The sequence below is a fragment of the Homo sapiens genome, chromosome 10 (assembly GCF_000001405.40).
Source record: "Homo sapiens chromosome 10, GRCh38.p14 Primary Assembly".
NCBI lineage: Eukaryota > Metazoa > Chordata > Mammalia > Primates > Hominidae > Homo > Homo sapiens.
In genome coordinates, this window is record NC_000010.11 from 84323140 (window position 1) to 84350927 (window position 27788).

General features: G+C 43.0%; 1 protein-coding gene across 12 annotated transcripts in view, besides 4 other annotated features; it reads left to right on the forward strand.

The window, feature by feature from the left end:
• Positions 5214 to 5943: a silencer, noted in NCBI's record as "silent region_2554". NCBI's record gives its function as "represses an Ori minimal core promoter by ATAC-STARR-seq in GM12878 lymphoblastoid cells {active_cell/tissue: GM12878}" and the evidence as "EXISTENCE:reporter gene assay evidence [ECO:0000049][PMID:35858748]".
• The window catches only part of CCSER2 (coiled-coil serine rich protein 2), a 189929-nt gene continuing 167590 nt past the window's right edge, over positions 5450 to 27788 (forward strand). For 11 of the 12 annotated variants that reach the window (NM_001351290.2, XM_005269905.5, NM_001351292.2 and 8 more), the window contains exon 1: positions 5450 to 5669. The gene's annotated coding sequence lies outside the window, so the exon portion shown is untranslated. Of the gene's footprint in view, positions 5670 to 18229; positions 18371 to 27788 lie in introns of those variants that run through there. The other variant, XM_017016340.3, reaches the window with a different exon arrangement.
• Positions 5994 to 6343: an enhancer, noted in NCBI's record as "active region_3679". NCBI's record gives its function as "activates an Ori minimal core promoter by ATAC-STARR-seq in GM12878 lymphoblastoid cells {active_cell/tissue: GM12878}" and the evidence as "EXISTENCE:reporter gene assay evidence [ECO:0000049][PMID:35858748]".
• Positions 7391 to 7470: an enhancer, noted in NCBI's record as "active region_3680". NCBI's record gives its function as "activates an Ori minimal core promoter by ATAC-STARR-seq in GM12878 lymphoblastoid cells {active_cell/tissue: GM12878}" and the evidence as "EXISTENCE:reporter gene assay evidence [ECO:0000049][PMID:35858748]".
• Positions 10818 to 10867: an enhancer, noted in NCBI's record as "active region_3681". NCBI's record gives its function as "activates an Ori minimal core promoter by ATAC-STARR-seq in GM12878 lymphoblastoid cells {active_cell/tissue: GM12878}" and the evidence as "EXISTENCE:reporter gene assay evidence [ECO:0000049][PMID:35858748]".

Sequence of the window (27788 nt, forward strand, 5' to 3'; positions counted from 1 at the left end):
CACTGGAATAGCCACTTGCTCCAGATATGGGTTTGCCTATCCTGCATGCAATGCTTCTGCGAAGACTACCATCCGTGGACTCACAGAATGCCTTATCCAGCATCATGTTACTCCACACAGCATTGCCTCTGACCAAGGCACTCACTTTACAGCTAAAGAAGTGCAGCAGTGGGCTCATGCTCATGGAATTCACTGGCCTTACCATGTTCCCCATCATCCTGAAGCAGCTGGATTAATAAAATGGTGGAATGGCCTTTTAAAGTCACAATTACAATGTCAGCTAGGTGACAATACTTTGAAGGGCTGGGGAAAAGTTCTCCAGCAGGATGTGTATACCCTGAATCCGCATCCAATGTATGACACTATTTCTCCTGTGGATTTCTCCTTGAGGATTCATGGATCCAGGAATTAAGGGGTGGAAGTGGAAGTAGCACCACTCACCATCACCTCCACTCATCATCATCCCTAGTGACCTACTAGCAAAATTTTTGCTTCCTGTTCCTGCAACGTTATGTCTTGCTGGCCTGGAGGTGTTAGTTCCAGAAAGAGGAATGCTGCCACCAGGAGACACAACAATGATTCCATTAAGCTGGAAGTTAAGATTGCCACCTGGCCACTTTAGGCTCCACCTACCTCTAAGTCAACAGGTTAAGAAGGGAGTTACAGTGTTGGCTGGGTTGATTGAGCCATACTACCAAGATGACATCAGTCTACTACTCAACAATGAAGGTAAAGAAGAATATGAATGGAATACAGGAGATCCATTAGGGTGTCTCTTAGTATTACCATGCCCTATGATTAAGGTCAATGGGAAACTACAACAACCCAATTCAGGCAGGAATACAAATAGCCCAGACCCTTCATGAATGAAGGTTTGGGTCACTCTACCAGGTAAAAAACCATGACCTGTTGAGGTGCTTGCTGAGGGCAAGGGGAATACAGAATGAATAGTAGAAGAAGGTAGTCGTCAAGACCAGCTACGACCACATGACCAGTTGCAGCAACGAGGACTGTAATTGTCATTAGTCTTTCCTCCTTCTTTTGTTAAGAACATGTTTGTGCATGTGTACACTTGTACTAAGAAAATATCTTCGTTTTATTTCCTTTATTTTTCCTTTGTCATGTGACATAAGATTTATTGACTTCATATTAGCATTTAAGTGTTGTTAACTTTACGAAATAGCATTTAGGTTAAGGATTAGTACACTTCCGGTTGTATGAAGGATGGCTGTATTCTATTAGGCATAATTATGACCTTATTATTATCTTTATTTGAAGATTATGTATGATTTCAGGAGATGTGTATGGGTTCAAGGTTGACAAGGGGTGAACTTGTGATGGTTAATATTGTCAACTTGATTGAACTGAAGGATGCAAAGTATTGTTCCCGGGTGTGTCTGGGAGGGTGTTGTCAAAGGAGATTAACATTTGAGTCAGTGGGCTGGGAGAGGCAAACCCACCCTCAATTCGGGTGGGCACCATCTAATCAGCTGCCAGCACGGCTAGAATAAGGCAGGCAGGAGAAGACGGAAGGACTAGACTTGCTGAGTCTTCTGGTCTTCATCTTTCTCCCATGCTGCATGCTTCCTGCCCTCAAACATCAGACTCCAAGTTCTTCAGCTTTTGGACTCTTGGACTTACACCAGTGATTTGCCAGGGGCTCTTGGACCTTTGGCCACAGACTGAAGGCTGCACTGTCGCCTTCCCTACTTTTGAGGCTTTGGGACTCGGACTGGCTTCCTTGCTTCTCATCTTGCAGATGGCCTATTGTGAGACTTCACCTTGCAATCGTGTGAGTCAATACTCCATAATAAACAACCTTTCATATATACATCTATCCTATTAGTTCGGTCCCTCTAGAGAACCCTGACTAACACATTATTTTTCATCTTTCTGGGCCTCGCCAATCAATTTAGGGAATGAAAAGAAGGAATTCATTCTACTTTGTTCCCGTTTGTCATCTTCACAGCTGAGAAGCAGGCTTTCTACATCTTCACCAGGAGGCCAGTTTGTGGATACTCTGTCTTTTACTGGTAAAGATGCTCCTTGTTGCTGGATTCTAGATCCAGAAGGCATCAAGGCATGCAAAGTCTTCGAAATTAGGGCCAACAAGGAAAACTTTCTGTGATTGTGGGAGCCGAGAGTTCCCATCATCAGACTGCCTTCTGTGAAGAACTGGTGATTTCTTCTAGAAAATCAATCCCATTGACTCCTGTCCTTGTTCATGACTTAATCCAGAACAGTGCCTGTGGATGCTCAGTAAATATTTGTGAGATGAAAGGGGGAGATTTCTCTTTTAATCTTATTTATTTACAGATGGGATCTCACTGCTGCCCAGGCTGGAGTGCAGTGGTGCAATCATAGCTCACTGCAGCCTCAAACTCCTGAGTTCAAGCAATTCTTCCACCTCAGCCTCCTGAGTAGCTAGAACTACAAGTGTGCACCACTACATCCAGCTAACTTTTATTATTTTTTATTTTTGTAGAGATGGGGGGTTCTCACCATGTTGCCCAGGCTGGTCACACTCCTGGCCTCAAGTTATCCTCCTGCCTTGGCCACCCAAAGCTCTTGCTTGAGCCACCATGCCTAGCCAGGAGATTTCATCAGAGATTCTTGTCTGTTGTATTTTTTTTTTTCTTAGAGACAGGGTCTTGCTATGTTGCCCAGGTGGGGCTTGAACTCCTGGCCTCAGGCAATCCTCCAGCCTCAACCTCACAAGTAGCTGGAATTACAGGTGTGTGGGACTGCACCCAACTTGTCTGTTTTTGGATGGTCTCCAGAATCATCTCCTACTGGGGCTCTGGATCAACTGTTTCATTGTGCTGTTTGTCATGGAATCCTAAAACTTCCCCTGAAAGAATGTCTCTCTCTTACATCAAGAGGATGCCAAAAAAGGAGAATTTAGGTTGCAGATGGAATTAAGGCTGTTAATCAACTGGCCTTAAAATAAGGTTCTTATTCTAGAGCATCCAGTTGGACCCAACATAATCATGTGTCCTTAAAAGTGGAAGACTGAGACAGAAGAGGAGGTCAGAGTGATGCAATGTGGGAAGGACTCAAACTACTCTTGCAGGTTTTGAAGATGGAGGAAGGGCAGGCCGGGCACGGTAGCTCACACCTGTAATCCCAGCAGAGGCCGAAGCGGGCGGATCACTTGAGGTCAAGAGTTTGAGGCCAGCCTGGCCAACATGGTGAAATCCTGTCTCTATTAAAAATACAAAAATTAGCTCGGCGTGGTGGCACATGCCTGTAATCCCAGCTATTTGGAAGGCTGAGGCAGGAGAATCGCAGAACCTGGGAGGTGGAGGCTGCAGTGAGCCCAGATCTCACCACTGCACTCCAGTGTGGGTGACAGAGCAAGATTCCATCTCAAAAAAAAAAGAAAAGACCCAGGAAAATTAACTGAAAGCAAATAAAACGTATCAAGGATGCTTATAAAATTAGGAAAATACACTAAAATGCTATTGTGATTCTGCTAAGTATGTACATGTATTAGCATTATGGGAAAGTTTTTTCCTAGCCTTCTTTTTTTTTTTTTTTTTTTTTGGAGACAGGGTCTTGCTCTGTCACTCAGGCTGGAGTGCAGTGACATGATCACAGCTCACTGTAGTCTCAACCTCCTGGGCTTAAGTAATCTTACTGCCTCAGCCTTCTGAATAGCTGGAACTACAGGCATATGCCACTAAGCCTGGTTAATTTCTTTTTTTTTTAATAGACTAGGTCTCTATGTTGCCCAGGCTGATCTTGAACTCCTAGGCTCAAGTGATCCTCCCGCCTCAGCCTCTCAAAGTGTTGAGGTTACAGTCGTGAGCCACCACAACTGGCCTGGGCATTTTATTTTATTTTATTTTATTTTTGAGATGGAGTCTCACTCTGCCGCCCAGGCTGGAGTGCAGTGGCATGATCTCATCTCACCGCAACCTCCACCTCCCAGGTTCAAGCAATTCTCCTGCGTCAGCCTCCTAAGTAGCTGGGATTACAGGAATGCGCCACCACGCCCGGCTAATTTGTTGGTATTTTTAGTAGAGACGGGATTTCACCATATTGGCCAGCCTGGTCTTGAACTCCTGACCTTGTGATCCTCCCACCTTGGCCTCCCAAAGTGCTGGGGTTACAGGCTTGAGCCATCGCCTCCGGCCTGGTGTTTGCTTTTCTAATCTCACTTAATCCAAAGAGAGATTGCACAGCATTTAGACCTAGTCTTTGTCAATATTTTAAGCACACATTATTGTCCAATACATTAAATATCTTAGGGATTGATATTTAAAAGACATTATTTTCTAAATATGAAAGTGTATTATTAAATGAAGTGTGGTTATACAAATCAGGCATTCCGTCTGCTTTTTCCATTTGAGTATCATTGATCTGGAGACAGGAAAGAACTGGATATTTTTCAAGCAGTTCTCCTGAAATGTTATTACAACCGAGCTGTTGGGGCCGACGAGGATTTCAGAGAACTGCAAGTCTACAACCAGGTAAGGGCAACTCCAGAGCTTTAAACAGCCGGCCAGGCCCGGAAGCCTTCCAGGCTGAGGACTCTCAGCAGCAGGACTGGCCGCGTCGAGGAAAAACAAGAGGGGAAGAGATGGCCTCTGGGGGATGGAAGCCCCAAAGGGAAGAAAGACCTGGTTTCTGGCAAAGAAACCACATTGGCCAGGAGCTGTGGCTCACGCCTGTAATCCCAACACTTTGGGAGGCCAAGGTGGGAGGATTGCTTGAGCCCAGGAGTTTGAGACTAGCCTGTAAGACCACTTCCCCCAACTCTAAAAAGAAAAAATAAAAATTAGCCGGGTATTTGGGTCAACTTGTGATAGTTTACTTTGACTAGTGTGGTCTTAGTTGTAATTATTTCGGAGGCTTGGTGATACACGCCTGAGGCGAGAGGATCGCTTAAGCCCAGGAGGCTGCAAGTGAGCTGTGATAGCGCCACCGAACTCCAACCTGGGTGACAGGGCGAGACTCTGTTTCAAAAAAAAAAAAAAAAAGGGAAAACCAGATCAGCACTTGGGGTGCCCCTTCCCCTCAGCTTTAGCAAGATCCTGTGTTTTGATGCGGTAGGCAGGTGCGTGGTTCAGTCATGCCCAATGCTCAGACCACTCCTCACTTTTCACATCCAGGAGGAGGAGCTGTCAGGTTTGACCGCACTCAAGCAGCAAATGTAGTCCAGGGGACGGCTAGAGGTGAGGTCAGCCGCAAGACTGGCGTCACTGCGTGGGCCCAGCAAAAACCTGAGTCAGGAGGCGGCCAGGCAAGGTCAGTGGAGGGGGCGGGGCCCGAAGCGGAGGCGGAGCTTGGGAAAGCCTGGCGTGAGGGCGGGGCGGGGCCAGAGGTGGGCTGAGGCCGGATCAGGCGGTGGGGGCGGTCCCCGTAGCCCCGTGAGGCTCGCGCCTGCGCACGGGCCCGCGGCGGGGCGGGACTGCGCGTGCGCGGTGCGCCGGCCCTGGAGGGCGGAGTCCGGGCGGGCGCCGGCCGAGGGAGGGGGCGCGGCGGCTTTGGAGTCCGGCGCTCCCTCAGGCCGCGGACGCGATGCTGGTTGCTGCGGCTCGGGCGGCGGGGCTGGCGGGGATGTGACGGGCGGCCCTTCGTCTCACCTTCCGTCCTCGGGCCCGCAGGTCGCAGGGCGGCCTGCAGCTGGGCCGCGGCCGAGGAGGCAGCGCGACCTCCGCACGGTGAGATCCGGGCTCAGGGCCAGAGCCGGGGCCGGGGTCGCGGCGGGCGCCGGGGGCAGCCCAAGACCAGGCACGCAGTCCGGGGCGGGGCGGAGGCCCGAACTCCCGGGCTGAGGCGGTGTCGCCCTCCCGTACCCGGCCTCCAGGGTGAGCCTCTCTAGCCCCTCGCGAGCCGCCGGACGCGGGGCGGGCGCGGACCCGGGAGGCCGGAGGGCGCCCTCCCTGCGGCTGTGACAGCGCGGGGCCTCGGGCCGCGGGCGCCGCCGCCTTTCAGGAGAAATCAGGGCGAGGCTGAGGCACTCTGATTTCGGAGCCTGGTTGCGTGTGAGGGTGGATAGGGAAAGTACCGGGGCTCCCCGAATGAGTTCGATTTTTTTTTTCTTTCAATTACTGGGCTAAATGAAAGACACACCCTAAAACACATCCTGAGGTGAAACTTTGGTGGGGCACACCGTTGCCGTAGGTTCAGATCTTCTCTCTTGTCTTTAGACATGTATTTTCATACATTTTTAAATAATGCACCTACTTTCTTGATAAAGTAAAAGGAGGAATGAAGGGACTCCTTTGTGGTGGTCCTTGGTGGCGAAGCTTGTTTCCATTTCAGTAATTGCATATTCATCTGTGTGGGCTCCCCGACCAATGAGGCTGGCTGCTCCCAGACAAGGCCTTAGCGGAGTGGAAATGACTGACGCAGGGACTCTGGTCTCAGATTAGAGTGTTGGTAGCTCACTCCTGTAAGAGAGAAATTGAGCTTTAAGCTTTTTAAAATAGCCATATGAAAAGCATTCCTTTTCTCCTGAGCATTAAAATATGACGGAACCTATTCATTTGGCCAGTTGTTTTTTTTAAAGCATCATCTTTTAGACTAGAGACTTTAGAGATGGCAGCTGCTCTTTAACCAAAAGGAACTTAAGATGCTCTCCTGCAAAAGATGGGTTCAAAACATGTCTTATCCGTCATCCATATGTGATAAAAATGTAAATATTCCTGAGTGTTTGCCTGAAATCAGTCTTCTTCCTCTTGGACTTTATTACTGTTTCTCTTAATTTATGAAAGCTTGTTACTGTTATTTTTTGTTTTCGTTTGTGTTCTAAACAACATTGGCTTCAAATAATCTTCAGGTTAAAAATGCACACTTTGTTGAACCCTTTAGCCATAATTCATACTGTCGTACTTCAGCATAAGCCATAGTTAAGAAAGCACTAGAAGCCATCCTGAAAGCAAGCCGAAAGTCTCTATTAAGAATTCTGTAAAAATTCTACCTTTCCACATTCAGACCTGCATTTTTTGTTGCTTTGACTCAACTCCTTTGACTATTTTGGAGGAAGGGACTTTGAATCCATATTTACAAGTCCTTCAGTGACTCTCCATAGTCTATATCGATAAAATTCAAAGTCCTTCATGATTAGCGGTATTTGTCTCCATTCTAGTGTCATCTTCTACCATTATGCCTGCCCTCTCTATATAAGACTGTTGCAGTTCTCTGAAGATGACATCTTCCTCTGTGGTTTTTCAGTGTTCTTTGTTGAGAATTCTCTACCTAGTAAACAACTTGCCCTTGAAGACCTTACGAAAGTAGCACTTCTGAGGCTTGTCTAGACATTTCATCCCTCTTGTCTTAACTGATTCGTACACTCTCCAGTTAGTATTTGTCAACTGGTAGTTAATGATTTGTTTATGTGTCTGTCTCCACCAGGTTTTGGGGTTTCTTTTGTGTTTTTTGAGACAGAGTCTTGCACTGTGGCCTGGGCTGGAGTGCAATGGCCTCATCTCGGCTCACTGCAACTTCTGCTTCCTGGGTTCATGCGATTCTCTTGCCTCAGCCTCCTGAGTAGCTGGAATTATAGGCACACACCACCACACCTGGCTAATTTTTTTTTAGTAGAGACGGGTTTCAGTATGTTGGCCAGACTGGTCTCAAACTCCTGACCTCGTGATCCGCCCACCTCGGCCTCCCAAAGTGCTGGGATTGTAGGCTGGTTAGGAATGAAACCCCAGTTATGTTAAAAAAAATCCATTTTATGATACAGGAATAAAAAGGGCATGACCAATAAAGATTGCTGCTTCATTGGTCCTACAACTTTATTTTGAGGCGCAAAGTCACGCAGGTAGAAAGGGATGGCGGGGATTACAGTCCAGGTCTTTTGACCATCTGTGTATTTCACTTTTGCCCCCAGTCTCCTAATTCTAAATCTTAATTGTTTTACAATTTGAATGGGAGTTGTGAGCGACTTGGATGTGTTCTGAAAAAAGGGTCAATAGAATATTGAACTTGAAAGAATTAACAGATTATTTGGTTCAACTTTAAAAATTTTACGGTTAAACAACTCAGCCTAAAAAGACAACTTGTTTGAGATTGCTTAGGCTCACCTACATCTCATATCTCCTGACCTCATCATTGTGTGTTTTTCACTACTCCATGGTGCTTTGGGGTGAAATGAAGGAGCTGCCAGTTTTTCAGAGGGAGTGCAAATCTGCTTGCACTTTCTCCCTCTTTGAATACATGGCTGCCACTCCTAGGGACTTAGAACCCTTGTGGCTGAGAAACATGATAATTCATTTGGGGATATGGGAGAAACCTAACCTTCACTATTCCTCTCAGCCAGATAGTTTTAACTTCAGTGCTTGGGGCGCTCTCTCCAGATGCCCCATAACAAGTGGCTTCTGATCACCATATGGACATCTCACATACAGTTAAGTTTTGATGGTACAATGAGATTTTAATATAAGAAGGTTGCAGCTGGCTAATAGCATGGCTAAAATTACTTGTGTGGCTTGTCTGTGAGAGGAGCCTATCTTACTCCTATGTGATAGGATTTTGGGGGAAAAAATTGATGATTGTGGCTGTCTCTAAAAAGTTGAAATGTGTACTTAGTGGTGTGGGCCTGACCAATTCCAAAAGGCTTTTTATCTTACAAACAATGGTCAAAGAAATTTTAAAAATCAAAACAAACTTAATTTTTCTTCTTATTTCTTGTCATATCAGTGGTTTTATATGATAAAGCATACACATAATGCTTAATATTTGCTTTCATATTTGATGTTTTATTTTTGCTATAGTTTTTATACCTTTAGATGATTATACAGTGTTACAATGTCATTTCTTAATAATTGGACATCTAGATTGTTTACTATTTTGCAGATAATGCCGTTAGTATATAGCTGTTTATCATTTTGCTTCTTCCCTTTGGGCTAAAGGCCCAGGAGCAGTATTACAAAGTCAGAGGGTATGAAGGTTTTGTTAATTCTGAAAAATATTACTAGATTTACTTCTAAAAGATATTGATTTACAGACTCCAGTAGAGTTTGGTTGACCATTTCTATCATACTTTATAGGTTTTTGCTTTTAAAAGTTTGTTTTTTAAAAATGAGGATAAGGTTCCTTGCAGTTTAACATCATAGTCCATAATAGACAAGCAAATGCAGTATTCTTCTAGTTTTATTTTCTCCTTTATTTGTCCATCGTCCATAAATTTATTGGAATCTTCTCACCAATTTTCATTAGCACTAACATCATAAATATATTAATCTCTTGAAAAACATTTCTGATCTATTTTTTCTTATTGTAGGCTTTATAGATTTTATATTATTAAATTTATTTTTTTATATATATATATATATATATATATTTTTTTTTTTTTTTTTTTTTGAGACAGAGTCTTGCTCTGTTGCCAGGCTGGAGTGCAGCGGTGCCATCTCGGCTCACTGCAACCTCTGCCTCCTGGGTTCAAGCGATTCTCTTGCCTCAGCCTCCCCAGTAGCTGGGACTACAGGCACGCGCCACCACGCCTGCCTAATTTTTGTATTTTTAATAGAGATGGGGTAATCCCTATATTATATATTTTTTTAAAAAATCAGTGTGGCTGGGTGTGGTGGATCACACCTGTAATCTCAGCACTTTGGGAGGGTGAGGCGGGAGAATCGCTTGAGCCTAGGAGTTCAAGACCAGCCTGGGCTGTTAACATAGTGAGACCCCCATCTCTATTTTAAAGAAAAAAGATAAAAGAAAAAAGTCAGTGATTTTTGTCCTTTGATTGTGTTTTTTGAGAATGAATGCCATGTACCTGTTTGATGCATACTTTTATTTTCTTAAGCTTCTAGAATTCATTTTGTTATGTATATATATTTGGAAAGTTAATATACAACTGAGATAAAATTTCATTTATGTGTATTTTATATTATAGAAAACTACATTATTATGTTTTCATTCTTTTTTCTGAACTTAAATAGGAAAACAAAATAACCTAACTTTAATACAAATGTGTACTTGTTTTTTAATAAATTATGGTAAGTTTTAGTTAAACTAACATTTTTATGACAGCAATATATTGGTTAATTGAAATTTTTGTCTGTTCAAGATTAACCAGAGGGTTGTCTTTAACTCTTATTGCTAATCATTCTAAAATATATGAAAGGAAACCTTAGTAATCTGCTCCCACTGGGGAGCAGGTTACTCCCATTCTAGATAGATGAGACATCCCAGGATAATAGTTAACATTGAGTGCTGGGTGTTTTGCTGGTTCTTGGCATGGAGTTTCTTACCTAATCTTCACAGCAACCCTAGGAGGTAGGTTCTTTTAGTATCCTCATTTTGTGGATATGAAAATATAGAGACTGTGACCTGCCAAGGATAACATAGGTAGTAAGCATTGGAACTGGAACTCAGTCAGCCTGCTTTTAAAAGATGCTATTTCAAAAGTATTATCTTATTATCCATGCCAAGGATTTGGACTTCATTTCTTAGACATTGGAAAGATTAGGTGTTGCAAAGCAAGGGGATGATATGGTATGTTATCTCTTTTAGGGAGATTGCTCATGTGACAATGTGGCTATATATTGAATTATGTTTATAATAGGAAGTGGTTGAAATATTCATGTGAGAAATGAAGGCTAAACCTTGAGGTGGAAGTGGAGATCGGGATATTTTGGAAATATATAGGAATTAGTAACTGATACACAACAGAGTGGGAAGGCAGTGTATTGATTTGGAAGACATTGAGTGGGGTAATGACAGATGAATATGTGCTCACAGCACTTTGTTATATTTCTTTCACAGCGTTGACTGTGATGTATTGTACCTATTCTAGTAACATATCTGTCTCCCCCACTGGATTGTGTGCTTGTCAAAGATAGGGACTGAGTAGAGGAATGAGTGAATATAGGATGAAATAATACAGAAAGGTCAAGAGACTGAACTGGGAAACACCAAATTACCAAAATGAAAGAGTGGGTGGAGGAAGAGTAGCTCTAGAATGTGACAGCTGTCAGGGAGGATGGGGGAAGAGCCATCAGGGAGGAGGCAGAGGGGTAGGGAAGTATTAGCACAGACATGAGCATGTAGAATGCTGCCACCTCAGGCTACAAACAGTTGTGGTTGGTGTGCCCTGCTGTCATAAGCTGATTGTGGTTGTATAGGGTGAACTTGTCTTTCCGTTGTTATTGACTACTTAAGTTTTCTCTGAGTATCTGATGGCTTTCTGCCTCTTTGGCTTCTGACTTCTGCTTGCTACAGGTGCTGATGCTGGGGTGTGATTCAGCCTATTGAGATCAACCAATGAGAACAGTCCTTTCTTTTTAAGTGAATTGACCAATCATAGTATGTGAGATGTAATTTCTGAGTTTTTAGCTCTTCTCTGATGAGTTGATTGGTTTGGAATGTCCTAGAGTTACTTCTCTACCTTTAAAGACTTCTGGTTGATTATATTAAGGTTTGGAGCCATTGGGAAGCCAGAGGATTCTTAAAGGTTGGATCCATGAGCACTGAAGTTTTTTACCTGTTTATTTTTTCAAGTTGATCAGTAGCTTAGTTTCAGTATAGTTGGATCATCTTTGAAGACTGTTGGTCTTAAAAATGCCACAGATTATTCCAAATAATTAAGAATCTCTGTTTTCTTTGTACTTTATAGCTACGTAAGACAGGGGCTTGTTTTAAATTTTCTTGGTCAGCTCCTAACTTACTTCATATGTCTGTTTTTCAAAGAGTTACTTGGTAAAGGAATTTGCTATTGATTTTTTTCTACAACCATTTGCTTCAGGCCATCCTTACCCTCTGTTCTCTGCCTTCTCCTGTTTTCATCTACCCTGTTTCTGTCCTTGATAAGGACAGTGGGAAAGGGAAAAGAGAAAAAGCATGAGGGATTACTCCTTCCTTCCCTTTGTTATGGTAGTTGTTACTGCTCTCCTCCCTGCCATCGCTGCTCCCAGCTGTTCACTTTGGCATGGTCTCCTACCCTGTATCTTGAGTTCTGTGTGTGAGAATAGAAATGCAAGGCATGGCTCTTTAGCTGAGGAACGATGGGCATCTCAGGGTTTTGGTCCTTCTGTGATCTCTCTTTTGGTGCCTGGTATTGAAAAGCCCAGTGACATCTTGTATCTGAGCAAGTGTTTTCTGTTCCCCAGCATTCTACTTCTCTCTCTCTCTTTTTTTTTTTTTTTTTTTTTTTGAGACAGGGTCTCTGGACCCAGGCTGGAGTGCAGTGGTGTCATCATGGCTCACTGCAGCCTTGACCTCCTGGGCTCTAGCTATCCTCCTGCCTTGGCTTCCCAACCTGTACTCAACCTGTAGCTGGGACTACAGGCATGTACCACCATGCCTGGCTAATTTTAAAAATTTTCCATAGAGACAGGGTCTCCCCATGTTACCCAGGCTGGGCTGAAACTCCTGGGCTCAAATGACCCTCCTGCTTTTACCTCCCAAAGTGCTGGGATTACAGGTGTGAGCCACCACAACTGGCCCTGCTTTTCTTTAAAATGCAAAATTAAATTCCAGTCCTGTTTTTTTGAGTTGCCTACCCTCCTCCCCAACACTGCCCCCATGTCAAGATTGCAAAACCTTTGATGACGAAGGCCCTAGTGAATACGCTAGGGACAAAGAAGCAAGACAGATACCAGAAGGTACTTTGAATTGTTGTTGTCATCATATTAATGATATTTCGTTGCAGCCTGAGTGCTTTAGGGCAATTTGAGAGCTTTCTCTGACCATTATCTCTTGGCAGCCAGTGTTAGGGTTGGGAGTTATATAATAATTTTCTCTGAAGATCTTAGCTTAGAAAAACAGGGACTATTCATAATAGCTATTTAAGTCTGTAGAATGGACTTGATGATATTTTGGTCAGAGTTGGTAGGCCACTTTATAGGAAACATCCAGGTGATATTTCTTTTCGGGGTGGGGAGGCAGGGATGGCCATCTTTCTGTTTTGTTTTGTTTCTTTTCCTTATTTAAAATTTTTTCTCAGGTATATTTTCCTCATTTTAGGAGTAGTATGGTATGGCTTGTCAACCTTTATTTATTATTGGTACTAGCTAGAGATGTAGACTTGGCCATTGTTGTGGCCTTTCTTGCAGTCATGTTTTTCCAGGACTTGAGATGTTTTACATTCTAAATTCCTTCAATCCTGGCTTAGAGAATAGATTCTCAGTCTGGATTTTTCTCATTCATTCATTCAAGAAATGTATTCCGAGCACTTGCTAGGAATAGTTCAGTCAACAAAACAAATTTTCTGCCTTTGTGGAGCTTACATTCTAATGACAAGATACAGAAAATAAGTATATGTGTAATATGTCATCTATTACATTGCTGTGGAGAAAAAGCAGGAAGAGGTGAAAAGAACATGTGAGGGTGATGCTGCTGTTTTATCTAAGGTGGTTAGGGAAGGCTGTAATAAAAACTAGTATTTGAACAGAGATCTTGAAGAAAGAATGTGATCTATGCAGATATTAGGAGAGAGAGAGTACTTGATGAAGATAGAACTGGAATACAAAGATCCTGTGGCTGAAGCTTGCTTGACCTGTTCTAGGAGTGGCAAGTAGGCCAGTGCAGGCATTGAGGGGAAATGATTGGTAGATGAGGTCAGAGAGGTGGGTTGGGTTGGGGGGATATGCCTGATCATATATGGCATTGTAGGCCAGTGAGACTGGCTTTTAAAAGGTGGGGAGCCACCAGAGTTTTGACTTGTTATAAGTAGAACTCTCAGCTGCTATGTAGGGGTGGCGCATAATGAGATTATTTAGCAGGCGCAGCAGTAATCCTAAGTGGGAGATGATGATTTTAGGCAGGGATTGGGAGAAGTGCCCACATTTTGTATACATTTTGAAGCCAGAGCCAACAATTTAATGATGGATTGAATGTGGGCTGAGTTTGGCCTGAAAAACTGGACAAATGGAGTTAACATTTCCTGAGATGGGTAAGAGCGCAGAAGAAGCAGGGTTTTAGCGGGGGAAGTAACGAGTTCAGTTTTGGACATTTTAAGTTAGTAATCTGAGTGGAGATATGGTGAAGAGAGCTGGGTATGCACAAGTCTGCAGTTCACAGCAGAGGTCTGGGTTAGAGATATATAAATTTGCAGTTATTAGCAGAGAGATAGTATGTAATGCCTCGAGAATGGATTAAAATAATTTAGGGAGTGAATGTGGCTGGAGAAGTCCCACAAGTTAGCCTTGGGATCCTGTAATGTTTTCAGAGGGAGAGAAACTAGCAGAGGAGACCAAGAAGCCGCACGCCTATAAAGAAGGAAGAGAATTAAGACTGAGTTGTATCAGTGAAGCCAAGTGAAATGTTGTAAGAAGGAGCGAGTGAGTAATCAGCTGTGTCAGATGCTATTAGATTGAGGACTAAGATAAAGCAATATGAAAATCATTGGTGACCTTAACAAGTTGTTTCTGGTTTAGTGGTGGAAGTGAAGACTTGATTGGAGTGGGCTTAAGAGAGAATTGGAGGAAAGGAATTGTAGACTGCTGGGATAGACAGTTTCTTCAAGGAGTATGCTGTAAAGTAAAGCTAAATAACAGGGTGGTAGCTGGAGGGGATGTCCAGTCAAGGAATTGTTTTTTAAAAGATGGATGCTCTTCTTTTTTTGTATTCTTATTTACATACTGTAAACCAAAAAGTATCTGAGACAGGTCTCAATCAATTTAGAAGTTTATTTTGCCAAGGTTAAGGATGCATGCCAGGGAGACAAGTCTGTCTTTCTCCAAAGATGATTTTGAGGGCTTCGGTATTTAAATGGAAAAAGCAGGCTGGAGGGGCAGGAGAGAGGGTATTATCACATTACTGAATCCACATGTTGCGAAGGAAAAGGAGCAGGTAGGGGAATAGTTGGTTATGTATTTGTTAAGGTGAACACTGAGTAGTTACCCGTGGACACATTTAACTTTTTATCTGTAGCTATCAGCTTAGAAACAAAAGGAGAGGGGGCTGGGCACGGTGGCTCAGCCTGTAATCTCAGTACTTTGGGAGGCTGAGGCAGTTGGATCACCTGAGGTCAGGAGTTCGAGACCAGCATGACCAACATGGTGAAACCCCATCTCTACTAAAATACAGAATTAGCCGGGCATGGTGGTGCATGCCTGTAATCCCAGCTACTTGGGAAGCTGAGTTGAGGCAGGAGAATTGCTTGAACCCGGGAGGCAGAGGTTGCAGTGAGCCGAGATCACGTCATTGCACTCCAGCCTGGGCAACAAGACAGAAACTCCAAAGAAAAACTTAAAAAAAAAAAAAACAAAAAAAAACCCCAAAAACAACAAACCAAAAAAACCCCAACAAAAAACAAAAGGAAAAGCAGCTTCTTTTGTGACTCAGCTTCCAGCTTACTTTTTTTTCTTTTGGCATAGTGAAATTAGGGTCCCAAGTTTTTACTTTCACAATACAAATATATGTAGTTAACAAAATGTTTCAACAGAGAAAAAAAATGCAGGATCTACGTCGTTGAAACGTAAATGAAATTAACTTTATCCTCATCTGTGCACTCAAGGTCCATCATCATCATCATGATGGACTGTACTGCAGTTTTGTGCAGTGCTTGCCTTGTAGTAGCTTCAAAATTTTGATTTAGCAACCTATTTGTTATGGTAGTTTTACCTTTTTAAAAATAAAAGTTAAATTGCAGAACAAATGAGCAACTTTTCCAGGGAAATTTTGACAGCTACTCTTCTCTACCACCCCTTTTTTTCCTAATGTACCTGATCTCATTTTACTGTAACTGCTTATGATTATTGAGTTGATGTTTGAGATGAATTCAGAAACTGTGTTGAAAGCACATATTACAGTTATAGCACTTTATATGCCTCTTTTCGTGGTTCATTTATGTTTAAGTAAATAGTAGTCAATATTTAGTGTTGGAGCATCATTACAGTTGCTTCTTAACCCTCTTCATTGGTCTTTCTCCAGATTTTCTTCCCTTAGCCACTGATCCATGCCCCAAGTTTTGGATTTCCGAAACACAGATCTGACCAGGTTCTGTTTTTGCTAAAAAAAAATCTTCTGTGGCTCCCTATTCTCTACAGAAGTTAATTTTTTCTTTTCTTTTCTTTTTTTTTTGTTTTTTTTTTTGCCTGTTTACCTACCTTTTGCCTGCACATGCTTTAGGGGATCTGGAGTGCTCCCTAGGGTGTCTTGCTGTGTTGGCCAGGCTGGTCTTGAACTCCTAGTGTCAAGCAATTTTCCCACCTTGGCCTCCCAAAGTGCTGGAATTATAGGCGTGAGCCACTGTGCCCAGCCTCTCCAGGGGATTCTAATGCACATGTGATGTTTCTTACCATAGGACTACAGAGTAAAGATCAGATTTTTTATTAGCATACAGATAGTACTCCAAGAGGAGATTCCATGAAAATGAGAAATGCTTTGACATCTCTCTGCTTTTGCACATACTATTACTTTTTTTTTTTTTAAATTTATTTTTTATTTTTTGAGACGGAGTTTTACTCTTGTTGCCCAGGCTGGAGTGCAATGGCGTGATCTTGGCTCACCGCAACCTCTGTCTCCCGGGTTCAAGTGATTATCCTGCCTCAGCCTCCCAAGTAGCTGGGATTACAGGCATGCGCCACCACGCCTGGCTGGTTTTGTATTTTTAGTAGAGACGAGGTTTCTCCATGTTGGTCAGGCTGGTCTCGAACTCCCAACCTCAGGTGATATGCCCGCCTTGGCCTCCCAAAGTGCTGGGATTACAGGCATGAGCTACCGTGCCTGGCCACTATTTCTTTTTTTGTAGAATACCATTCATCTTCTCAGCCTTCTCATTAAATCACTTTATCTTTTTTATTTTTTTATTTTTTTGAGACGGAGTTTCACTCTTGTCGCCCAGTCTGGAGTGCAAAGGCACAATCTCTGCTCACAGCAGCCTCCGCCTCCCAGGTTCAAGCAATTCTCCTGACTCAGCTTCCCGAGTAGCTGGGATTACAGGTGCATGCCACCACGCCCGGCTAATTTTTTATATTTTTAGCAGAGGCGGGGTTTCACTATGTTGGCCAGGCTGGTCTTGAATTCCTGACCTCAGGTGATCCTCCTGCCTCGGCCTCCCAAAGTGCTGGGATTACAGGTGTGAGCCACTGCACCTGGCCATCACTTTATCTTTTTAAGAGCCCAACATAGATGCCTCTTCTTCCAGGAAAGCTGCTAGACATATGTTCATTATGCCTCTTCCATCTGTCCTTCATTATATTCTGTTACTTGTGTTCCTGTTAACATTATGAGGTTTTTTTGTTATAGTATTTGCTGTATTTTACTGTTTGTTTTCGTGACAGGTTGCTCTCTTGCCCCCACTTATAGACACTCAATAAATTTTTTGTTGAATGAATGAGTAAAGCAAATAATTATCCAATGTTGACCCAGTTTTGATTGACCCATTTGGTTGGGAATTTACGCCATTCAATTTGTACAGAATATACATAAGCAATTCGAATAGTGTTCTTAAACACAGTCATATCCTAAAGTCTTAGGAAATTCATATTTATTAAATATTTCTTTTCATGAGCAAATAATGAGACTTGTTGATGATTTATTTTCTATCCCATATCTCTATTTTTGTCTGAATTTTTTTCCTTCTCTGGTTTTTTTTTTTCCTCTTTGACGTCTCTATTTGGATGTTGACCTTAACCATCCTCTTACCCTGACACTCATCCCCTAAACTTGATCCCCCTCTTGGCTTCTCCATTAGTGTTTTCTCTGTCACCATCTTACAAGTTATTTAGGTTTCTCTGTAGTATCTGTAGGTCTTACTTCTACATCTGATGAGTTACTGAGTTCAACAAACGTTTTTTGGCCACTTCCTGTGTTCCCGACTTGTTAGTGTTAGTAATAAGAGGCTGAACAAGAGAAGGTCCGAGTCCACAAATGATTATGATACAATGTGATAAGTATGGTAATACAGTAATAGTGGAATATTTAGGGCACTATTAGAAGATAGGAAAGAAAAACAGTGTTTTTCCTACTCTCATGTACCACTCAATGTAACACTTTTTTTTTTTTTTTTTTTTTGAGACAGTGTCTTGTTCTGTCACCCAGGCTGGCGTGCAGTGGCTTGATTATAGGTCACTGTAGCCTTAACCTCCTGGACTCAAGTGATGTGCCCTCCCGAGTAGCTGGGACTACAAGCGTGTGCCACCATGCCCAGCTAATTTTTAAACATTTTTATGTAGAGGTGGGGTTTTGCCAAGTTGCCCAGGCTTGTCTCAAACTCCTGGCCTCTAGGATCTTCCCACCTTGGCCTCCCAAAGTGTTAGAATTACAGGCACAAGCCACTGCACCTGGCCTTTGTAACTCTTTTTTTTTTTTTTTTTTTTTTTTAGAGGCGGAGTTTTGCTATCTTGCCTGGGCTGGTCTCAAACTCCTAGCCTCAAGTGATCCTTCTGCTTCGACCTCTCAAAGTGCTGGGATTACAAGAGTGAGCCACATAGCACTTGGCCACACAGCACCTCTTACACTAAATGTATGGAGATTGTTTTGCTGGACACCAAGCAATTCTGACACCATAGACTCCAGTGAAGAACAGCTGGTTGCCCTATGATTTAGTTCCAATCTAACACTGTCTACCTGTAGATAGTGTTAAATGCTGTAGGATAAGGTCTCAGTCCCACAAGATGGCGCCATCCCCCCCACCACTTCAGATGCATGCTCCAGGTTGTGACCTGTGTCTATGACCAGCCATAAATTGGGGTTCCCATGACCCCCTTCTTGGGTTCAGTTAATTTGCTAGAGCAGCTCATAGAACTTAGGGAAACACTTCACTTATGTTTGCCCATTTATTAAACAGCATATTTTAAGAAATATAGATGAACAGCCAGATGGAAGAGATGAATAGGGTAGGTCATGGAAAGGGGCATGGAGCTTCTCTGTCCTCTCTGGGTGTACCACTCTCCAGATATCTCCACGTATTCAGCTCTCTGAACCCTGTCCTTTTGGCCTTTTGTGGAGGTTTTATTACATAGGTATGATTGATTACATCATTGGCCATTGGTGATCAACTCAGCCTTCAGTCCCCTTCCCCCCCCTGGAGGTTGGGGGATGGGGCTGAAAAGTCCCAACCTGTACTCATGCTCTGGTCTTTCTGGTAACCAGCTTCCATCCTGAGGTTAACTAGGGCTCCCCAGCTAGCAGTCCTCATTAGCATACAAAAGACACTCATCACTCTGGAGATTCCATGGGTTTTAGGAGCTATGTGTCAGGAACCAGGGGCAGAGACCAAATGTGTATGGGATATGATATCATATCACAGTATCACAGGCAGCCTGGGAATAAAGAATATCTCTGTCACATATTCCTTATTTTTTACTTTGGCTACTGCCAATCTCTTTCGGGTCCTCATTACTGTTTAGATAATTGTAAGACCTTTTAGTAGCTACTCCTGCCTTAACTCTTGTCATTCCAGTTCCTCATGTACCCTGTCATGTACCCTGTCATCCAATTTTCTCAGACATTTTGAGAAAATTGTCTTAAAAAGGGGGAAAAAAATGTTACATGCCTTTCCTTCTCCTGTTCACAGAATAAACTCCAAAAATAAAATCTAGAATTCAAAGCCCTTGACTCAGACTTCCTTTTCTTGTCTTCTGCTACATGAACCTTTCATGCAGCAAAACCTTCTACATTCTGTTCCAAACACACTTCACACATTCTTTTTTTTTGCGTTGTGTACTACTCATTCCCCCGCAACATTTTACTTTTGCTTCCTCTGTTCACAGAAACTGTATCTATCTGTTGACATAGTTCTTAATTGTTAAATCCACTGTGAACCTTAGACCATCATGCCCATGTTCTTGAACTTTCTTTGCCTTCCAAAGCATCGTTCTCCTGTTTCTCTTTCTCTTTCTTTTTTCTTTTGAGATGGAGTCTCGCTCTGTCGCCCAGTGCAGTGGTGTGATCTCTGCTCACTGCAACCTCTGCCTCCCGGGTTCAAGCAATTCTCCTGCTTCAGCCTCCCAAGTAGCTAGGATAACAGGCACCTGCCACTACACTCAGCTTATTTTTGTATTTTTAGTAGAGTCCGGGGTTTACCATGTTGGCCAGGCTGGTCTCGAACTCCTAACCTCAAACGGCCCCCTTGGCCTCCCAAAGTGGTGGGATTACAGGTGTAAGCCATTATGCCTGGCCCTGTTTCTTGTTCATACCTATTCTTTTCCAGCTGTCTTTACTGTCTCTTGTTCATGTAGTCAGCTAATTTTCCCATCTTAGTTAATGATACTGCCAGTCATTCAGGTGCCCAAAGTATAAACCTGGGAGTAGTCCAGACTTCTCTTATCTCTCATTTTCCATTTGTTGTCAAGTCTTTGTGAGGTATCTCTTCTCTCTTCATTGTCTTTACTGTTTCCTTGGGCTAGGTCTAATATCTAGAGTAGACCACTATAAGAAGCCCCGTCAGTGTAAGTACTCTACCTGGTCCTGGGTATTATACAAAACAAGTATTCAGGAAATGCATTTTGGTTATAGCCAGTAGGAACGCCAAACACAAAATATAGTTTTGAGTTGACCACCCTAGAATAGTGCTTAAACCATGGACTGATTATTCTGTATCCATTAAAGGTCGATTTCCTAAATATCTCAATTAGATGATGTTGTTATGAAGTAATTTTTACTTTTTACAAAAAATTTACTTAAGGCTTAAGAAGATGATGTGTTAGTATTACAGGGAAAAGGCAAGAAAAGTTGTATGGAAACGGCTCTGGCTGGGATATGTGCCAGAAAGGATCTTGTAGACATTTTATTAATGGGCTAGAAAAGAGATTAAAAGTTTGCAGGTAACGTTTGGTGCTTATTTATCCACATGACAGTAAAAGAGCAGTTAACTACAGGAAGATCTTGAGACTGGAATAGACAAAATTTGAGTATTAGTGTGTGGAATTGTAACCTAATGTATTTGACTAGTACTGTGAAGATGCTGTTTAATTGTCAGTTAATACCCAGGAGAAGCTCCTGATATCAATGTGTCATGTTCCTGGAAGATACTGGCATAATATGCTGATGCTTGAGATGTGGTAACTTAATCACTGTACCTCTGCATCATTTAATATGTTTCATAAGCACAAGCTGTTTAGTATTGAAGAATTATTTTTTGACCCCAGACATAGTCATAGAAGAGCCCTTTAGTCTCTTGAAATTTTTTTTGGTTTGCTAATAGTAGATCTTAGATAGGATTTGTCTTATTTGTGCCGTCAAAGAAAAGTCCAGATTTGCAGTATTTTCTACTTTAAAACTTAAGATTCTCTCATTCTAAATGTATTTTGCACATATTTCAAAATATCTGAATTTATATTTTGTGAATATTTTACAAAAGTATTAAAGGTTTTTTTTTTGTTAGTTTTTGCTGTTGCTTTATTTTTTTCTTTTTTAATGTTATCTTTTGAATATATGTTTCTTTATTGTTGATCTTTATTTACCTCTGATGAATTTAGGGGTTTATGAGGCTGGCATTAGATTGTCACATGGACATTACCTTGGAAAATCTATTTGAGTACTCTGTATTATAGCATTTTGAAGTTGATAGTGGGATGTATGTATCATTTTGGCTTATGTTATTCTGTCCAGAGGATTTTCCCTAGGGAAGGTGGGAAAGAAAGGAAGAATGCTTTGGAGAGAATTCCCACGGTGGACAAGTGGCATTTTGAGTCAAGGGAGTAGTGTGCACTTTGGTAAGGAGTCCTGAAAGAGCATCTTATGATTACAGATCTTGAGGTGGTTTGGTGTGGTTGGAAGGCAGGGTTTGTTGGTTAGTGGTGAGAGGGAGCAGCTGTAAAGGAATACCAAAGCCGCAATTCGAAGGCTTGGGTAATTTTAGCTGCACGCACTCACTAGCTATGTGTCTATATGTGATTTCCCTAAGTTTCAATTTCCTTAAATGTGCAAAATGAGAATAATAAAAATATCTACACTGTAGGATTGTGAGGTTTAAATTAGGTAACATTTGTACCTGGCACACAAGTACTTAATAAATATCAGCTGCTGTTTTTAGGTATTTGTACTTCAGAGAGTTATTGAAGGATTTTAAAATTGAAGAGTGATATGATCGGAATTAGAATTTTGAATACTAATCTCAGGAAAAGTGTAAAAAATGGATTGAAGGGGAAGAAACTGAAGGCGGAAAATTAAGTAGGCCTGTGCTAGAATACTAGCTAGTAAGATTCTAGATTAAGAAATGAGGAGAGGACAGGACGGGTTTGAGAACTATTGCAAATTATCACGTGCATTATATTCCATGAGTTGGGGAGATCTTAAGGGAACTAGGAGAATTGACAGCAAGAATATGGACAGGATACCTAGCTGAGTAAGAAACATTGTATTTTCCTCCTCTTAATACAACTCAGAAACATACTTTAAAAGCATTTAGTATTTTGACATTTGGTACTGGGACATTTTGAATGTTACCATCTAATCATTTTGGATAAAGATACATGTCTATTTACACAGTTTTGTTTTTGGAGTACTTTATGTACATTCTTGTTGAGTACTCTTCTATTTGGCAAGTTTCGTTGTGGCATTTGAAAAACTGCCCTTTCCCAGTAAAATGATTAGATTTTAATTTGTTTACTCAGTTGAATGTTCTTACCTTACATAATTTTACTTAGATTATTTTATAATAGAGAACAAAGGTCTAGATTATGACATGTTTTCTTGTCACTGAAGTGTTCCTTACGTTGTATTGACCAATTGAACTGTGGGTTAAATATAATGTACTTTAATTTTAAGGTGTGGTTGAGACTCAGGCCCAAGATATTTTACTTTTTATTAATCATATTTTATAAAATTATAATGATAATTATTGAAGTAAACAAGATTTTGGGATTGTGTATAAGGTCATAGGCATTTTCACTTGTTTGTCAGCAACCCCTAGAAGTTATGTCTCCTTTGCTATTGAATTAGAGTAAGACTTTCTACATACTGCTGTATCCAAGGGCAAAAAAAGTAATGTTTAGTAGAGCTGCAATCATAAGAAAGATTTTTCAGTGATATTTATTTCTTCACCCAATAGCTTTTATTAAGTGTCTTTTTATGTATTAGAATAATCTTTTTTGAGACGGAGTTTCACTCTTGTTGCCCAGGCTAGAGTGCAGTGGCGCAATCTCGGCTCACCGCAACCTCTGCCTCCCGGGTTCAAGCGATTCTTCTGCCTCAGCCTCCCGAGTAGCTGGGATTACAGGCATGCACCACCTCGCCTGGCTAATTTTGTACTTTTAGTAGAGACGGGGTTTCTCTATGTTGGTCAGGCTGGTCTTGAATTCCCGACCTCAGGTGATCCGCCTACCTTGGCCTCCCAAAGTGCTGGGATTACAGGCGTGAGCCACCGCACCCAGCCATGTATTAGAATAATCTTTAGGAATTAAAAAAAAAAAAACTAAATATTTTGTGCTGCTTGTCTTCAAGGAGGTCTCAGTCTAGTGGAGAAAGTAGAACACAGGAAAACATGATTTTAAAAATAAAATAGTGTAATAATTGCTATACCTAGGGATACCCAGCTAAACCATGGGCATATGTAGGAGGAACATCTAATCTGCAGATATCACATGATCATGCTAATTTGGTAGATTTATTGCTATATATTACATGAGAAGAGTAGATCCAGAACTGAAAGGAGTCTATCATCCAGCCATCTGTTACAGATCAGGACATAGTACATTTCAGAGAGCACATGCTACTTCATGGGAGATGGAAGATTGCAAGAAGCCTCTTGGCAATCCTCATTTCTTTTTTTTTATATATATATATATATTTATTTATTTATTTGTTTATTTTATTGATCATTCTTGGGTGTTTCTCGCAGAGGGGGATTTGGCAGGGTCATAGGACAATAGTGGAGGGAAGGTCAGCAGATAAACAAGTGAACAAAGGTCTCTGGTTTTCCTAGGCAGAGGACCCTGTGGCCTTCCGCAGTGTTTGTGTCCCTGGGTACTTGAGATTAGGGAGTGGTGATGACTCTTAGCGAGCATGCTGCCTTCAAGCATCTGTTTAACAAAGCACATCTTGCACCGCCCTTAATCCATTTAACCCTGAGTGGACACAGCACATGTTTCAGAGGGCACATGGTTGCGGGTAAGGTCATAGATCAACAGCATCCCAAGGCAGAATAATTTTTCTTAGTACAGAACAAAATGAAGTCTCCCATGTCTACTTCCTTCCACACAGACACAGCAACAATCTGATTTCTCTAACTTTTCCCCACCTTTCCCCCTTTTCTATTTGACAAAACCATCGTCATCATGGCCTGTTCTCAATGAGCTGTTGGGTACACCTCCTAGACGGGGTGGTGGCCAGGCACAGGGGCTCCTCACTTCCCAGAAGGGGCGGCCGGGCAGAGGTGCCCCCCCACCTCCCGGACGGGGCGGCTGGCCGGGGAGGGGGGGTGCTGACCCCCCACCTCCCTCCCGGACGGGTCGGCTGGCCGGGCGGGGGCTGACCCCCCACCTCCCTCCCGGACTGGGTGGCTGGCCGGGTGGGGGCTGACCCCCCACCTCCCTCCCGGACGGGGCGGCTGGCCGGGCGGGGGCTGCCTCCCACCTCCCTCGCGGACGGGGCGGCTGGCCTGGCGGGGGCTGACCCTCACCTCCCTCCCGGATGGGGTGGCTGCTGGGCGGAGACGCTCCTGACTTCCCAGACGGGCGGCTGCCGGGCGGAGGGGCTCCTCACTTCTCAGACGGGGCGGCTGCTGGGCGGAGGGGCTCCTCACTTCTCAGACGGGGCGGCTGCCGGGCGGAGGGGCTCCTTCTCAGACGGGGCGGCTGGACAGAGACGCTCCTCACCTCCCAGACGGGGTCGTGGCTGGGCAGAGGCGCTCCTCACATCCCAGACGGGGCGGCGGGGCAGAGGTGCTCCCCACATCTCAGATGATGGGTGGCCGGGCAGAGACGCTCCTCACTTCCTAGGTGGGATGGCGGCCGGGAAGAGGCACTCCTCACTTCCCAGACTGGGCAGCCGGGCAGAGGGGCTCCTTGTATCCCAAACGATGGGCGGCCAGGCAGAGACGCTCGTCACTTCCCAGATGGGGTGGCGGCCGGGCAGAGGCTGCAATCTCGGCACTTTGGGAGGCCAAGGCAGGCGGCTGGGAGGTGGAGGTTGTAGAGAGCCGAGATCACGCCACTGCACTCCAGCCTGGGCAACATTGAGCATTGAGTGAAGGAGACTCCGTCTGCAATCCCAGCACCTCGGGAGGCCGAGGCTGGCGGATCACTCGCGGTTAGGAGCTGGAGACCCGCCCGGCCAACACAGCGAAACCCCGTCTCCACCAAAAAATACGAAAACCAGTCAGGCGTGGCGGCACGCGCCTGCAATCGCAGGCACTCGGCAGGCTGAGGCAGGAGAATCAGGCAGGGAGGTTGCAGTGAGCAGAGATGGTGGCAGCACAGTCCAGCTTCGGCTCGGCATCAGAGGGAGACCGTGGAAAGAGAGGGAGAGGGAGACCATGGAAAGAGAGGGAGAGGGAGACCGTGGGGAGAGGAAGAGGGAGAGGGCAAGGGCGAGGGCGAGGGCGAGGGAGAATCCTCACTTCTTATGCCATTTATTTATATAGAGTATGTTGTGTATGTTCCTTGTCTCCCTGATGGGGCCACTACTCTGTGTAATGGATGAGACATGATGGAGTAGGTTGAGGAGGGAGATACATATGAGGTGAGTTTAAAGGAATTTGAATTATTTGGCATGAATAAGAGAAATCTGGGACTGTCTTAAAAAAAGTTTTGGGTTTTTTTGGTAATAATTTTATACTCAGAGAAATGTTGCAAGACCAAGATTAGTACAAAAAATATCTAAATACTCTTTATCCAGATTTACTTGTTAATGTTTTTTGCCATTTTCTTACCATTTGCTCTCTTTCATATATATGTATATATGAATAGGTATATATATGTTTATATGCATATTATGGCCCTTTATCTCCTAAATACTTCAACATGTATTTCCCAGTCATAGGGATTTAAAAAAAAATTGTACAGTATGGACTTCACTAAATTTAACATTGACGCAATAGTTTAATCTACCATTTGTATTCCAATTTTTTTTTCAATTGGCCCAGTCACCTTTATAGTATTTCTCCTTCCACAGACTGCTTTTTAAAGAGCAAAGAATGAGTCATGAGTAATTTTTAGTAGAAACTTTCTATTAAGGGCCTAAACACAATCATGGTGACTTAAAGTTGGATTCCTGTTTTGATCCACATCCATGCCTCCCACAAACCTTCCTGTCGCAGAAAATGACAGCACAATCCCATTAATTGTTCAAGCCAGAAACCTGAAGCTTATTTGGTTTCTCTTTTAACTTTATCCTTTGAGTTTAACCCATCACTGAGTCCTGTAGTTTCTCTCTCCCCTATATATCTTGAAACCCATCTATTGGCTGGGTGCAGTGGTTCACGCCTATAATCCCAGCACTTGGGGAGGCAGGAGGGTCACTTGAGCTCCGGAGTTCGAGACCAGCCTGGGCAACATACTGAGACCACACTCCCCCGCCCACCCCCGTCTACAAAAATTAAAAAGTTAGCTGGGTGTGGTGGCATGTGCCTGTAGTCCCAGCTACTAGGGAGGCTGAGATGAGAGGACTGCTTGAGCCCAGGAAGTCGAGGCTGCAGCGAACTATGATCACCCCACTGTACTCCAGAGTGGGACGACAGAGAGAGACCTTGTTTCAAAAAGAAAGAAAGAAACTTGTTTGTACCTTTCTATCCATCTACTTCAACCAGCCTAGTCTATCATTATTTCTCATCTGGACTCCTACCGACTTTCCTACCTGATTTTTTCCTGCTTCTACATTTTCTTCTTTCCTATTCATTCTCCACATAACAGCCAGAATGATCTTTTAGAAATGTAAATCAGATCGGCCAGGTGCAGTGGCTCACGCCTGTAATCCCAGCACTTTGTGAGGCCCAGGCAGGCGGATCACCTGAGGTCAGGAGTTCAAGACCAGCCTGGCTAACATGGTGAAACCCCATCTCTATTCAAAATACAAAAATTAGCCAGGCATGGTGGTGGCACCTGTAATCCCAGCTACTTGGGAGGCTGAGGCAGGAGAATTGCTTGAACCTGGGAAGTGGAGGTTGCAGTGAGCCGATATCATGCCACTGCACTCCAGCCTGGGTGACAGCGAGATTCCGTCTCCAAAAAGTAATAATAATAACAAAAAGTACATCAGATCGCATCACGCTCGTTTATACATTAAGTGGCTTTCCACTGCGCCAGAGCACTCTCTGCATAGCTTAACTCTTCTTTAGTCCACAACTTTAAAATATTCTCCCTCTGAGAGGCCTTACTTGATGCCCAGTTTGTTATTTTTCCTAAAGCATTTCGTTTTCCTTTATAGCACTTATGATTTGTAATTATTTAATTGTTTTTTTTTCTTTTTCTCTATTTCCTACACTAGGTTGTAAGTGCAAAATGCATAGGGACCAGGTCTGTTCTGTGCATTTTTGTATACCTAGCACATTGCTAGGATTATACTAGCTAGGTGATTAATAAATATTTGAATATTTGAGTGAAAGGAAACCTGAGAGGTTATCTAATCTTACCTCCCACCAATTTAAGAGTCTGCACTATCTCTGTCAAGTGCTTATCTAGCTTATTTTTTAATGCTTTCACAGATGGACAGCTTAGTGTTTTATGTAGTTTACTTTGTTGAATAATTTTGATAGTTTGAAAAGTTTTAGTTTTTGGGCTGAAAACTGCCCTTTTCTTATTTCTATTCATTGATCCTAGTTCTGCCCGTTTGTCACAACTTAAACTATTTTGACCCTACATATAGTATCTTAAACTATTTGACAGCAACCGTTATGTGTGCTCTTGGCTTTGTTAGGCTAAACCATTTATAAGCGCTTCAGCTTTTCATCATGTGACATGTTTCTTTACCCTTACCTCCTTTGTATCCCTTTTGCCAGGGTA